This window comes from Homo sapiens, chromosome 22, assembly GCF_000001405.40.
Source record: "Homo sapiens chromosome 22, GRCh38.p14 Primary Assembly".
Taxonomy (NCBI): domain Eukaryota; kingdom Metazoa; phylum Chordata; class Mammalia; order Primates; family Hominidae; genus Homo; species Homo sapiens.
The window spans coordinates 23,447,573-23,461,588 of record NC_000022.11 but is presented as its reverse complement, the minus strand read 5'-3'; the positions used below and the strand labels follow the sequence as shown (position 1 = coordinate 23,461,588).

The window sequence follows — 14,016 nt, the reverse complement described above, 5'->3', positions numbered from 1 at the left end:
TAGAATATCAAGCCATTCATTTTTTAGCAGAACTTTGAGATATAATTTAAATACCATAAATTTCACCCCCATACAGTGTACAATTCAATGGTTTCTAATATATTCACAGAGGTCTGCAAAAATTACAATTTAATTTTAGACATTAATATCATTTATTGACATCCTTATATGCATATAGATGTAGATATATGTAATTTTAATATCATCTTGAATATTATAGTATTTAACATTGTACTATGATAATATCTGTGTTTTTATATTGCTGTTTTATTTTGTTATTCTGAATGACAATGATCTCCAGGTACCTTTACACAGGTTTAAAATACACCTTTTTACAACTCGAGAAATTAAATTGTTTCTAGTAAATCACATAAGAAACACATATGCTATTGTTATAAAAATTCAAATACTGCTTAGGTCTATGGAATGTATTTCTATGGCCCTGGAGAGATGGGCACAGAGGGCAGTCTCTCCTCGATGCACCCTTATCTGTGAGGACAGTCCCCCCAGCCCCTGTGCCTCCATCCGGGTTCCATCAGCAAAGGGAAGCCCCAGAGCTGGGGCCCGGCCTTGAGGCAGAGCTGGAAGCTGCTACGCGGAGGGGCCTCAGCCCATGGTGGTGGGGGGGCACCCCAGCCACCCTTGGTCCCAGCTGCCACCTGTGCACTCCCTGAGCGGAAATGCCTGACTCACCCTAACGTTGTCCGGTCTGCAGATGGCGGCGGCTGCTGAGGGAGCTCCTTCCCCTCCTCCCGCCTACCCTGCTAGGGCTAGGCCACAGATACACAGGGCGAGTGGGAGTGTCTAGGGGAGAAGATTTTATTTCACAAGGTGAGGAGCCCGGGCTGGTGGCCGACGCCCACACACCAGGCTCCGGGACGCATGGGGTCTGCACGTGGGGAGGGTGCTGGCCGCCCCAGCAGGAAGCCCGACGTAGGTCCCAGCGTGTCTGTCAGTCATGCCGCTGCCCTGTGGAGCTGGAGAGGCAGGACGTGCACCCAGCCTGTGGCTGGCGGGGCAAGGGACCTGCAGGTCAGGCCAAGTAGAGTGGCTCTGGCTATGCCCCCGAGGCGCAGGCTACGCCACGGTCTGGAGGCTGAAGAGCTCGAGGGTGAGCGAGCTGAGGAAGGCAGGGATGCTGTCCTGGCGCCGCAGGTGCACCTCGATGAGCTCGCCCACGGTGTGCGAGAACTCTGTCTCCAGTAGCTGCATCTTGGAACCCGAGGGCCTGGTGGCCTGCGGGGCGGTCAAGAGACAAGACAGCGGTCAGCCCGACAGGCCTCTCCCTCTCCCCTCCCTCCCTACACAGCTCCTCCAGCCATGGGGGCTTCCCTCAGTCTGAGGACCTGGACAGGGGTAGATGCGTCCTCAACCCTGCCAGGCCTTATTCCAGGTCACCTAAAGGGACTGAATTAACCCAGGGCAAGGTCTCTGTTGTCTACACTGTCATCTACCCAGGCAGCTGGGGGTCCCAGGCACTGCAGGGTGTGCCCACCCGAGGGGCTGCCACCTTGCTCCTTCCTCCACCTGGGGGGCTCCAGCACCTGTGCCCCCACCTGTGACAGGCCCCAGTGCCACTCTTCACTGAGGCTGGAGGACCCCACACCCTGGGCAACTCCTGCAACGCCTTCCACACTGCCTGGGCCCCATGACCTAGTTTCCCCACTTGTGCAGGGGGGCGCTGGGGGCCCAGGGGGCGTCTGGCTCTGTGGATTCTGCAGCCCAGAGGGAGGCCTCCTGTAACTGGAGAACGGGCAAGGAGGAGCTTCCAGACAGCGCTGCAGGCCCCAGGGGACACAGGGCAGGAGGCACAGGGTTCAGGTCACACAGCAGGTCTGAGCAAGCTGCTGTGCCACAGTCCTGGGCTGTGTGGGGAGTGGACAGAGGCCCTTCTGAGCTGCCCCCGAGAGCCAGCCCCACCCCGGTCAGCACCCACACAGCCCCAGGTCAGGCAGGACACAAACCCAGCCCACCACAAAGCTCCCTCTCAAACCACGTCCCTGAAAAGTCCTGTACCCAGAATATGCCCAGAACTCCCACAACTCCACCATGAAGAGGAAAGGGCCGATTAAACAAGGGGCCTTTGAACATTTCTCCAGAGAAGAGCCACACACGGCCAGTGAGCTCATGCCAGGACGCCGGGCACCGGGGAAACGTGAACCTCAACTGAGCGAGACACGGACCCGCCTCGCGCCGACGGCCACTGAGAGCAAACACCATGAGCTGCTGGGTCGAGGGGAATCAGACCCTCCGCGTCGCTGGCGGGAGCGTGTGTGATGCGGCCACTGCAAACAGCCGGCGGCTCCTCAAAGAGCTGAACGCAGAGTCCATGGGCCCAGCACACGCCCGGGCGCGCAGCCAGGGGGTCTGAGCGCTGTCCACACACAGACCTCGGCACGGACGTCCACGGCAACACGATCCCATCACTAACAGATGGAACGCGGAACCAGCCCTCAACCGCCGGAGGGAGAGACAAAACCGGGTTTACCCGTCAACACCGCTTCGTACAGCCAAACTCTGAGACACGCTGCCCCGCGGGCAAACCCCGAAAACATGCCCAGCCAGTCACAGAGACCTGTCGACACAACTCCGTGCCCAGGGGATGTCGTGGAGGGGCACGCCAGGGCTCAGGGCCGGTGGAAAGGTGCCACGGTTAGACTGGTCGCGGCTGCGCACCGAATGTGCTGGGAAGAACGGAACGGTAGACTAATGGAACGCTAGACTTGGGGGTGAGCTGCATGTGTGTGCATCAGAGCTCAGGAAACCGTTTTGGAAAGGACTCCCTTCGCCCGGCAGCCCTCTGGGAACCCTCCCCAGGAGCCACAGGGCGGCCTGGCTCCATCCAGCTTGGTCCTGGCAGCTCCCCTGTCCACCGGAGCATGCCTGGGCTGGGCCCTGCCCTGATGGTGTCGCCCCTCCCCTCACCACCTTTGGAGCACGTGCTGCCCCCGAGGCCCTGCGGCCTGACCTGTTCCTCTGTTTCTCAGGAGCCGTCCCCGTGCCCTCCCCCTGCCCTCCCCCTGTTTCTGCTGCCTTAGTACATTTGGCCTTGTCATAGTTCAACACAAACCATTTTTAAACAAAAACAAGAGAAACCACTCTGACCTTTCACTGAGAAAATCCTTTCATTTCTGCCTTCTGCTCTTGATTCTGAATTTCTCCCCCTAAATGTCAGAGGGGCTGATTCTCCTGCAGCTGCTGGGCAGGGGTGGGGAGGCAGTGTGGGAAGAAGTCTCCTTAGCCGGCCCTTCGCCCTCCTCCCAACCCAGGGCTGGCAACCTGGCTGGGCCTGGGGCACTGTGGTGCAGACTCTGGCCAGGCTGGACCAAAGAATAGCTGTTCTCCAGGCACCCGCCTTCCCCGGCCCTCAGAGGCTGGCAGGCTTTGGGAGCCTGGCTGTTCATTTCTAAAACAATTTTTTTTTAGAGATGAGTCTCACTCTGTCACCCAGGCTGGAGTGCAGTGGCATGATGATGGGTCACTCAGCCTCGAGCTCCTGGGCTCAAGTGATCCACCTCAGCCTCCTGAGCAGTTGGAATGACAGGCATGTGCCAGCACACCTGGCTAATTTTTAAATTTTTTTGAGAGATAGATAGGCTTTAGCTATGTTGCCCAGGCTGGTCTCAAACTCCTGGCCTGACGTGATCCTCCTGCCTCAGCTGCTCATGACGTGAGGATTACAGGTGTGATCTCTGATCATTCTTTATTTGAAACAGGTGCACCCTGCCAGCATCAGCAAGACAGCTGCTCCCAATGGTAGGCCGGGCCGCCCACTCACGGCTCCTACAGCACTTCCTCTCTGCTGGCCTCAGGCGGCTCTGGAAGAATGACGCCCTAAGATACCGCACTGCCCTCCAGGTGGGGGTGGGGGTGGACGGAGACAGGCAGGAGTGACCAGTGCTACTCTCCCAGCTCAAACCCTACACGAAGGCAGACCCAGCGTTTGCAAAACACCAGCCCCCTGTGAACAAGTCGACCTGCCGTGCAGCCCACCTCTGACTCCGTTTCCCCCAGCATACCCGGCCGCATTGGGAGGCTCCACCTCGGTCCAACACTCCGGCATTAGCAGGACCTGCTGAATGAGTGGCACCGGGCCCATCCATCTCTGCCATCTCTGCTCAGCCCTCTGCCATGTTCAAATATCACACAGTCCCCAGGTACCTCGTAAATCACTGTAATTAGGGGCTGCTCACTTAAAATTAGAGCGCAATTTTTTAAAAAGCAAATTGTCAGTAAGACACGTTGGCTGTGGCTGGAAATATTTATGAGGCTGCCTGCGCGCAGGCTCTGGCTTCCTCTCCCTCTGTCTGGCCGGCCCGAGCTGCCACCTGTCTAGTCTGCACACATAGCGGCCATGTGGCTGGCGGGTGCCCTGGGGGAGACTGAGACACTCACTCTTAATGAAGACACTCGCGGCGTCCATTGTGGCCACTGCACTCCAGTCCAGACCCCGGCTGGCCTGGCCTGGCCTGGGGCTCACCTGCCCCTCTGGAAGCAGAGAGGGCCTGCCCTGGAGGGCCGGGGACCTCTGCAGCACGTCCGTGGAACACGTGGGCCAGGGAGTGTGTGCCCGGCCCCCATTCCAGCTCTGCCACGTGAGCAGTGCTCACACGGTGCCTAGGGCTGAGGGGTCTTACTAAGCGCTGGTCCCACCATCCCGAGCCGAGCCCCATGGTGTCCCAGCGGGCACGGACAAGAGGCACGGAGTGAGGGAGGGGTGGAGGCTGACAAAGTGCTTGGAGAGCAGAGACAGCGCCTCTCTCCACACACCACCAACTGCAGGATGTGGTGGGGCTCGGAGGCCAAGGGGGAAGTGTGAGGGATTCCTGTCAAGAACAAGACCCCCTGCTGCTGAGGGTCCAAGAGAAACTCCATGAACGGGGAAACTCAAGGGGAGGAAGCTAGAGATGGAATGAAGGAAGCCCTGAATCCTGGCTCAAACAAGCAAAGCTGAAATAATGCAGTAAAATGAGAAGACACGCAGGAAATGGAAACGATGCTACTTCGAGATACTGGGAAGTTATGTGAATGCTGTTCATCTGTGGGGTGGTGTGAAGAGGTGGAGGCCACACCAGTGGACATCAAAACCAGAAACCAGTCAGAGAAGGACAACAGGAAAACTGTAAGTGCCTGGAAATCAAACAGCACACTTCTAAGTAATCCACGAGTCAAATGGGATGCCTCGAAGGAAATAAAAAAGAGAACAGAATGGAAACAAGAATACAGCATAATGAAATTTGCCAGACGCACCCAAGGCAGTGCTTAGAGGGAAACAGACAGCACTCAATGCCAGTATCAGGAAAGGAGAAAGATCTCAAATTGCTTCTCTAAATTCCTACTTCAAGAAACGCAGGGAGAAACAAGCCCGAAGCAGGAGGAGGAAATAATAAAAGTAGGAATGAATAGGAAAACAAAAGACAGTTATTAAAACCAAAAACTGGTTCTTTAAAAAATAGCAATAAGGCCGGCCAGGAGCAGGGGCTCACACCTGTAATCTTTGCACTTTGGGAGGCCAAGGTGAGAGGATCACTTGAGCCCTGGAGTTTGAGACCAGCCTGGACAACACAGTGAGACCCCATCTCTATAATCAATCAGCCAGGTGTGGTGGCATATACCTGTAGCCCCAGGTATGTGGGATCACGTGGGCCTAGGAGTTTGAGGCTGTAGTGAGCTATGATCACACCACTGCACTCCAGCCTGGGCAACAGAGTGAAACCCTGTCTCAAAAATTTGTTAAAAAGACCAGCAACAATAAATTGATAAACCCCTCGCAAAACTGACAAAGATTAAAAAGGGGGAACGCCTGTAATCCCAGCACTTTGGGAGGCCAAGGCAGGGCATCACGAGGTCAGGAGATCGAGACCATCCTGGCTAACACAGTGAAACCCCATCTCTACTAAAAATACAAAAAATTAGCTGGGTGTGGTGGTGGGTGCCTGTAGTCCCAGCTCCTTGGGAGGCTGAGGCAGGAGAATGGCATGAACCCAGGAGGCAGAGCTTGCAGTGAGCCGAGATCATGCCACTGTACTCCAGCCTGAGCAACACAGCAAGACTTCATCTCAAAAAAAAGAAAGGGGGGAGAGTGAAATGACCAATATCAGAAATGAAATGGAAATATTATAATAGATCCAGAAGCTATTAAAATAACAATAAAAAATACTACAACAAAACTTGATGCTCATAACGAACTGGACGGATTCGTCGAAAACCACATACTACCAAAACGTGCCAAGATAAAATAGCCTCGGTAGTCCTATAACCATTAAATAAATCGAGTTTGTTGTAATTAAAATGCTACTCAAAATCTCCAGTCCCAGATGGTTTCACTAGAAAGTTTTACCGAACATTAAATATGAATTAATACCAATTTTACACAATCCTTTTTCAGTTAACAAAAGACAGGGAAACACCTTTCCACTATTAACCTTGTACTGAAACCAACAAGGATGGTGCGCACACACAGAAAAATAAGTATCAGTCTCTCATGAACTTAGATGCAAAAATACTCAACAAGTACTAACAAATGGAATCCAGCAATCTACGAAAAAGAGTATCACACCCTGACCAAGTGGGATTCAGTTTAGGTGTACAACGAAGGCTAGTTCAAATTTGAAAATCAATCAATGTTATTCACCCTATCAACAGGCTAAAGGAAAACAATGATATGATCCTATTGACACAGGCAAAGCATTTGACAAAATTTAATCTCCATTCCTGACAAGAACTCTTGCAAAGCAGGAATCAAGGGAAAGTCCTCCGACTTGGTAAAAAGCACCATGAAGAACCCTCAGCTCACGCTGCTTCACGGAGGAGTCTGGCCGCCTTCCCTCATTCGGTCAGCGGAGAGCTGGCTTTCCCCACTCATCCTCAACCCAGCATGGGAGCTCCTCACGCCAGGGCATGCAGGTAAGAAAAGGAAAGCAGCAGCATAGGGATTGGAAAAGAACAGAACTGTCCCTACTCGCAAATGACATGATGGCCCACGTGGAAAACCCTAAGCAATCTGCAGAAAACTCCTAGAATGACGTGACGGCCCACGTGGAAAACCCTAAGCAATCTGCAGAAAACTCCTAGAATGACGTGACAGCCCATGTAGAAAATCCTGAGCAATCTGCAGAAAACTCCTCGAACACTAAGTGAGTTCACGAAGGTTGCAGGAAATAAGATGAACATACAAAAATTAACCACATTTCTATAAAGCAATGGCAAACAAGTGAAAAACAAAATTAAAAGGCAATATAATTTACAGAACATCTTAAATACTTGGGTATAAATCTAACAAAAACTTGTATAGTGTCTGTTTGCAGAAAGTTAGGAAATACTGATGAAAGGAATCAAAAGAATGTTTGTATAAATAGATACAATGTTTATGAACTGGAAGACTTATAGTAAATCAATTTTTCCAAAATTGATCTTTGGTTTTAAGGTAATTGCTGTCTAAACCTCAGCATATATATATATATATATATATATATATATATTTTTTTTTTTTTTTTTTTTTTTTTTTTTTGGAAAGAGGGTCTTATTCTGTCACCCAGGCTGGAGTGCAGTGGTGTGGTCTTGGCTCACTGCAGCCTCAAGCAATCTTCCTGCCTCAACGTGCCAAGTAGCTGTAACTACAGGTGCGCACCACCACTCATGGCTGTGTTTTTTTCATAGAGATGGGGTCTCCCTGTGTTGCCCAGGCTGGTCTCCAACTCCTGGGCTCAAGCGATCCTTTTGCCTTGGCTTCCCCAAGTGTTGGGATTACCGGTGTGAGCCACCATGCCTGGCCAGCATCTTTTTTTTTTTTTTTTTTTTGGTAGAGAGACACAAGATTATTCTAAAATGTATATGGAAAGCCATTCCAAAAAAGAAGAGTAGGGGAATTGCCCTTCCTGATGTTGAGAACTGTACAGCTACAGCACAGCGTTATACAGCTCCTACATCAGACAGACATGGCTGGGGCAGCGCTGGAGGGGAGATGTGGAGACCAGCGGAACAGAACAGAGGAACTCGAAAGAGACCCACAGACGTGTCCAGGCCACTTTCTAACAGAGAATATTATGCCGTGACCAAGTGGGACTTAGTTTAGGTGTACGAGGCTAGCTTGGTATTTGAAAATCAATCAATGTAATCTGCTATATCAACAGGCTAAAGAATAAACAACATATGATCCTATTAATCGATACAGAAAAGTCACAAAAAAGTCACAAAGGTGCTTCAGTGGAGGAGGGGCAGTCTTGTCTTTGCTACAGCTGGAGCCGGAGCAGCTGGACACACTTAGTTAAAAAAAAATTTTTTTTTGACCGAAACCTCACATCTCATATAAAATTTAACTCAAACTGTATCATGAACTTACATGTAAAACACAGAATTATTTTAAAAAAGAAATCTTCAGGATCTGGATGAGGCAGAGCTCTGACACTCAACACCAAAGCACAATCCATAGAATAAAATTAAAATGGATAAATGGGCCTCGCCAAAATTTTAGGAAATTGCACAGTGGAAGAGCCTGTGAAGCAGACACAAGGACAAGCTACACAACAGGGCGCCAGCGTCTCCCTGCCCATCTCTCCTAGAACGCCACGGCCACAGAGGACCCCAGCACCTGGAGGGGCCAGTGCACAGAACCCGGAGGGGGGTGACTGCAGCGTCTTAACCCCAAGTGGGATTCCTGCCCGTGCCCTGGCCCCACAGGGCAAGGCCCACATCTGTCTTGCTTCTCTCTTTTCCCAGAACAGACTTCACCAGGCTGGAGAGTGGCCTGGGCACAGAGGCCGGGGCTGTGGCATCAGCAGCCATCGTGAGGGCAGAGCGCCCGGCGTTCTCAGACACACCCCTGCTCCCACTGGCCTTCCTGGGAGAAGCACCCCCTTGTTCCAGATGAGAAGCCGCAGCTGCTGGGCTGGGGGAGGCATGAATATTCCATGCTCAGATCTGCAAGCGCCATGCACCTAACTGGACACAGCTCCAGGCGCCTGCTTCCCTGAAGCCCAATCCTCCTGTCCTTGGTGTGCTGCAAGCGCCACTCCCGAGCAGGGCTGTGTGTGGGGAGAGGAGAGGAAAGGAGCCCTTGGGGGAAGTTATGCTGGGAGCCCATTTGTGGGGGGAGGGAGAGCGGGAAGCAAGGTGCATGAGGATGGGGTGTCCTGCAGCTGGGTCCTGACTGGGGGCTGCTCCCTCTCCTGGGCCTAGGCACTGCAGGAAAACGGCAGGTAGTTAGCCTGCCACCACCTCCCAGCCACCACCACACACCCTCGACGACCTTCCAGATAGACGGCTCGATCCTGACTTGAGCACTGCCGGCCCCAACACCTCCCCTCTTACACCACCTGCTTGTGTGGGCCTGGTGGCAGAGCTGCCGACGTCGGGGGCTTTCACACCCACCAGAACTAGCTTCTAACCTCGGCTTGGCCACCAGGAAGCTGCGTGACCCTGGGCACACCGACACACCTCTCTGAGCCTGGTCTGCATGCTGGGCATTGCCGAGAAGACTAACAAAGTCAGGTGCGTAAAATCACCGGGCTCAGGGGAGACACCGAGCACAGTGGGATGAGGAAACCCTGTGCCCACGTTACCCCGGGCCATGAGGACGGCAGCTGCCCCGTGCCCTGGTGCCATCGGATGGCCTCTACTGGGAAGTGAGCTGCTCCCGGCCTTGTCCCCACCTCGCTGCAGCAGGACTGGTTGTCTGCCAGGCCCCGGAGCCCCCAGGCTTCCCACAGAGGCTCCCCCACCAGGACCCGTGGGAGAGGAGATGGGCGTGCCTGGCTGGCATCTGCCGGGGCAGCCACAGGTCCCTGTGAACCTCGCTTGTAGAAGACACCTGCTCTCAAAGCCAGCGAAGGGGAGATTTTTTTTTGTCTTGAGGCTGTAAGGAAATCAGTGTTTTCAACTTCAAAAGACTCTCCGGGCTTCTCAAGTTGAGAATCTGACGCATTCCAGGCACTTTCATGCACACATGGGGCGAGCCGGGGAGAAGACTCAGCAGCGTCCGCCGAGAGTCAGCCTTGAACTTCAGGGGTGAGAAAACCCTTCAAGTTCACACTGCAGCACGACACACACTCTCACACCCACACTCACAGAGTGCAAAAGGACCCTTAGAAAATCTTCAAAATGTTAATGGCGGTTAACTCGGAGTGTTGGGATGGAAAGTGACTCATGGTTCTCTGCATTTTCCAGATTTTTTTATATGCTGCATATTTGTAATTAGGAAAAATGTATATCTAAATTATATCTGCAAGAGCGGAACAGCTTCGAGACAGGCCGCTGAGCACACGGGTTCCCCACTGCGGACACATGCAAGCCCCAATCCTTATCCACCTGGCCTGCAACCCTCAGGCGTCTTGCTCGTCTGCCCGTCTGCCTGGAGCGTCTCCAGACACTCTGTGGGAGGCCCCTCTGTGGGCTGCTGAGGCCGGTGCTGCCCACCCACCTGCCCCAGATGTCCTGGGCTTGGGGTGCCACGCTGGCGTCATGGCTGGCATCTTGGCTGGTGGCACCACAGACGCCAGGCGTGGGTCACAGCGTGAGCCCAGCCAGCTGGTTGGGGTGGGTGGCGCTGGTCAGGTGGCCACAGCAGAGTCCGCTGAGGCCACCTGTCATAGGGCTGCTGCTGAGGTGTGAGAGACACGGGCCCATGCCCCTCGGCACCCAGTGGCCAGGGCACCCAGGTTGGGCTTGTGCGAATCCCAGGTGGGGCACAGCTCTGTCTGTCCACGGGTCTTTGCGGTGCCCGTCTGAGCGCCTGTGAACAGTGCTGGGCAGTCTCACCATGCACACAACTCTGCACGAGCCTCCACGGCCAGGGCTGCCCTCCCTTCCCTAAAAAGTCTCAGGGGCTGAAGGCCTTGGACCATGGCATCAGGGTCCAGAGGTGATAAACCTGGGTAATGTGTGCCCTCATCCCAGCGGGTGCTGCTGGAGGTTAGAGGTTAGCAGAGTCCCAGCCCCGGGGTTAGAGGTCAGCACAGTCCCAGCCCCGGGGTTGGAGGTCAGCATAGTCCCAGCCCCAGGGTTGGCGGTCGGCACTGTCCCAGCCCCGGGCGGGGTTGGCGGCCGGCACAGTCCCAGCCCTGGGGTTAGCACAGTCCCAGCTTGGCTTCATGACCTCGGCAGCAGTGATCTGTATCCCAAAGTTCGGGCGTGATAACGTCAAGACCGTGCTGAGCCTGCTGGGTACAGCGTGAAAATGGCTGGTGCTACCGTGGTCTACACAACCTGTTAGACCGGGATACCGAGGACTCCTGGCAGCCTCACACCTCACAGCTGGGCTCTGCACAGGAGTCTCAGGTGCTGTGGGGCCAGCCTGCCTGCTGCACATCCAAGGCCCGAGGGTGATCCAGGAGCAGCAGCCACCGCCGAGCCCTGATAGTCACTGCCTGGCCTGTCCGCGCTCTGAGGAGGGAGAGAGCAAGCTTCTCGCCTCTGGTGTATTACCGCAGCCGAGGGACTCCTCCTCCAGGCTGGCCACAGGACTTGTTACAGCCTATGCCTGACTCCCCCGCTCATGGCCTCACTCCCTCATGGATGCCCATGGCCGGCCCAGCCCCACCCTGCACAGGCCCCCCAGCTCCAGGCCCAGCCCAGCTCAGCTCCTCGGAGCTCCTGGTCCAGAGGTCCAGGTTTGACCCCAGGACACCCTGCTGTGTGCACGACCCTCAGCTCCCACCCCTCTCTGCCGCACTGTCCCTCCAGCGTCCCTCGGGGGAGGCGACACAGCCGGGCCCAAAGGAGGCCTCGCAGATGCTGCCGCGTGAGCACCGTGCTGAGGGCCTGGTGGCAACTGGGTCAGGACAGCTTGGACAGAATGCCGAGAACAAATGTCCCGGCATGAAGTTCCAAAGAACGGAAGCTGGCAAAAAGTGTGTCCGGCATGGGGAAAATAGCTCAGCCAATTATTCCTGCCTAATTGTACCGAGGAAAGCATCTAAATACTGCCTGTGCTAATTATACCAGCGTTATTGGGGTTTATCTTCCCGGCGAGGGTGACCTTTCCTTCAAGAGTGACTGGCGGGGCGGGCAAGGCCAGGCACCCCAGCAGTCGCAGAAAAATCCCAAACCAACAATTATTATTATTATTATTCTATTTATACAGCTCCCCCTCGCACACGGGCGTTCTGCTTTACAGCCACACGCAGCTGCTCCTGCAGCCGCAGCCGGAGGGGAGCCGAGGGAGTGGGGGCGCCAGCTCGGGGTGGGGCGGCCTGAGCAGCCCCTGCTGTGAGTGGCATCCGCCACGGGCGGCTCCAAGGGCCGTGGAAGGGCATGGAGGCCACAGGGATGAGTTAGAGGAGGTGGCGGGGATGGAGAAGGAGGGAGAAGGGGCTGAGTGTGGGTTAAAAGACAGGGACTGGCCCCGAGGGCAGCAGGAGCGCAGAGCACATTGAAGGTTAAGGGAAGAAAGGGGACGCCGCGGGCAGGCAGGACAGGTGCTCAGCTCAGGCACGCAGGTGAGGAGGGAGGAGCTGCAGCACAGCCCTCGCCCAGTGGCTCCCTGAGCCCCGCCCAGGTGTGGGGTCCTCCCCTCCTGAGCCCGTCCCGGGTGTGGGGTCCTCCCCTCCTAAGCCCGGCCCGGGTGTGGGGTCCTCCCCTCCTGAGCCCCGCGTGGCTGTGGGGTCCTCCCCTCCTGAGCCCGGCCTGGCTGTGGGGTCCTCCCCTCCTGAGCCCCGCCTGGCTGTGGGGTCCTCCCCTCTTGGGCCCGGCCCGGGTGTGGGGTCCTCCCCTCCTGGGCCCCGCCTGGCTGTAGGATCCTCCCCTCCTGAGCCCGGCCCGGGTGTGGGGTCCTCCCCTCCCGGGCCCCGCCTGGCTGTGGAGTCCTCCCCTCCTGGGCCCCGCCTGGGTGTGGGGTCCTCCCCTCCTGGGCCCGGCCTGGGTGTGGGGTCCTCCCCTCCTGGGCCCCGCCTGGCTGTGGGGTCCTCCCCTCCTGGGCCCCGCCTGGCTGTGGGGTTCTCCCCTCCTGAGCCCCACCTGGCTGTGGGGTCCTCCCCTCCTGGGCCCCGCCTGGCTGTGGGGTCCTCCCCTCCTGGGCCCCGCCTGGCTGTGGGGTCCTCCCCTCCTGAGCCCGGCCCGGTTGTGGGGTTCTCCCCTTCTGAGCCCCACCTGGCTGTGGGGTCCTCCCCTCCTGAGCCCTGCCTGGCTGTGGGGTCCTCCCCTCCTGGGCCCAGGCTAGACAGCACCACCCTTTCCAGATGTAGCCGAATGAGAACAGGAGAGGACGTCAGCAGCCTCTGCGCCTTTTCACCTCCCACCCAGGCGAGGCCCATGCTGCTGGGGGTGACGTTTCGTGGAGCGCCACGCTTAGGGCAATGTGATGCTGGGGATGCGGGGTGAGGAGGGCCGGAGATGCAGGCCCGCCCTCCTGTGAGGCTGCCCCTCTTATCTGCTGTGGGCCCTGGGGCCCATCAGTTTGTCTCTCTGAGCTGAAGTTTCCTGAATGTAAAATGGAGACAAAATGCCTATTTTCCCACCTCAGAGGGCGGCCGGCAGCTTCCGGCCGAGACAGAGCCACAAGGACAGATGCACCTGCCATCTGAAACAGCCAGAATATGAGGCATCAAATGTGAAACAACAGTTTTCAGTCAGGAAGGGTGGTGGGCCTTGAGAGACGGGGCGAGCCTGGGGAGACGGTCACAGCCCAGGCAGGGCCTCGGGGGACCTGAGTTGAGGGACAGGGCTGGAGCTGGAGCCAGGGCGCAGAACAGAGTGCCAGAGAAGAGGGCTGAGTTCGCTGGAGTGCTTGGTGAGAGGCTGAGAAAACCTGGAGCATTAGAGAGAAAAACCCAGAAAACGGCGCCTGAAGCTCACACTGGGCTGGAGCAGTGCCTGTCTCCGGCAGCCTCGCGGGAAAGCCTGCGAACTAGGCGGCTCCAGGGCACAGCACTGAGATGGACACCCCTCAGCAAGGGGTGGTGTGAGCCCCAGACAGACGCTGCCCTGCTCCCACCTCACATTTCCTAAACCGAGACCCAGAGAACCAGGCTGTTTCCAAGTACCTGAACTGTGTCTCCGAACAGAGCTCACGAATATTTATAG

At 55.9% G+C, this 14,016-nt stretch overlaps 4 annotated features.

Moving 5' to 3' along the window:
* Window positions 674–1,208: an enhancer, noted in NCBI's record as "H3K27ac-H3K4me1 hESC enhancer chr22:23802568-23803102 (GRCh37/hg19 assembly coordinates)". NCBI's record gives its function as "activates a minimal SCP1, AML or CMV promoter by ChIP-STARR-seq in naive H9 embryonic stem cells {active_cell/tissue: H9 hESC(naive)}" and the evidence as "EXISTENCE:reporter gene assay evidence [ECO:0000049][PMID:30033119]".
* Window positions 875–1,030: a silencer, noted in NCBI's record as "fragment chr22:23802746-23802901 (GRCh37/hg19 assembly coordinates)". NCBI's record gives its function as "represses an EF-1alpha promoter that drives an FKBP-Casp9 reporter gene in an ReSE screen in HepG2 liver carcinoma cells {active_cell/tissue: HepG2}" and the evidence as "EXISTENCE:reporter gene assay evidence [ECO:0000049][PMID:32094911]".
* Window positions 9,257–9,903: an enhancer, noted in NCBI's record as "H3K4me1 hESC enhancer chr22:23793873-23794519 (GRCh37/hg19 assembly coordinates)". NCBI's record gives its function as "activates a minimal SCP1, AML or CMV promoter by ChIP-STARR-seq in naive H9 embryonic stem cells {active_cell/tissue: H9 hESC(naive)}" and the evidence as "EXISTENCE:reporter gene assay evidence [ECO:0000049][PMID:30033119]".
* Window positions 10,450–10,951: an enhancer, noted in NCBI's record as "H3K4me1 hESC enhancer chr22:23792825-23793326 (GRCh37/hg19 assembly coordinates)". NCBI's record gives its function as "activates a minimal SCP1, AML or CMV promoter by ChIP-STARR-seq in naive H9 embryonic stem cells {active_cell/tissue: H9 hESC(naive)}" and the evidence as "EXISTENCE:reporter gene assay evidence [ECO:0000049][PMID:30033119]".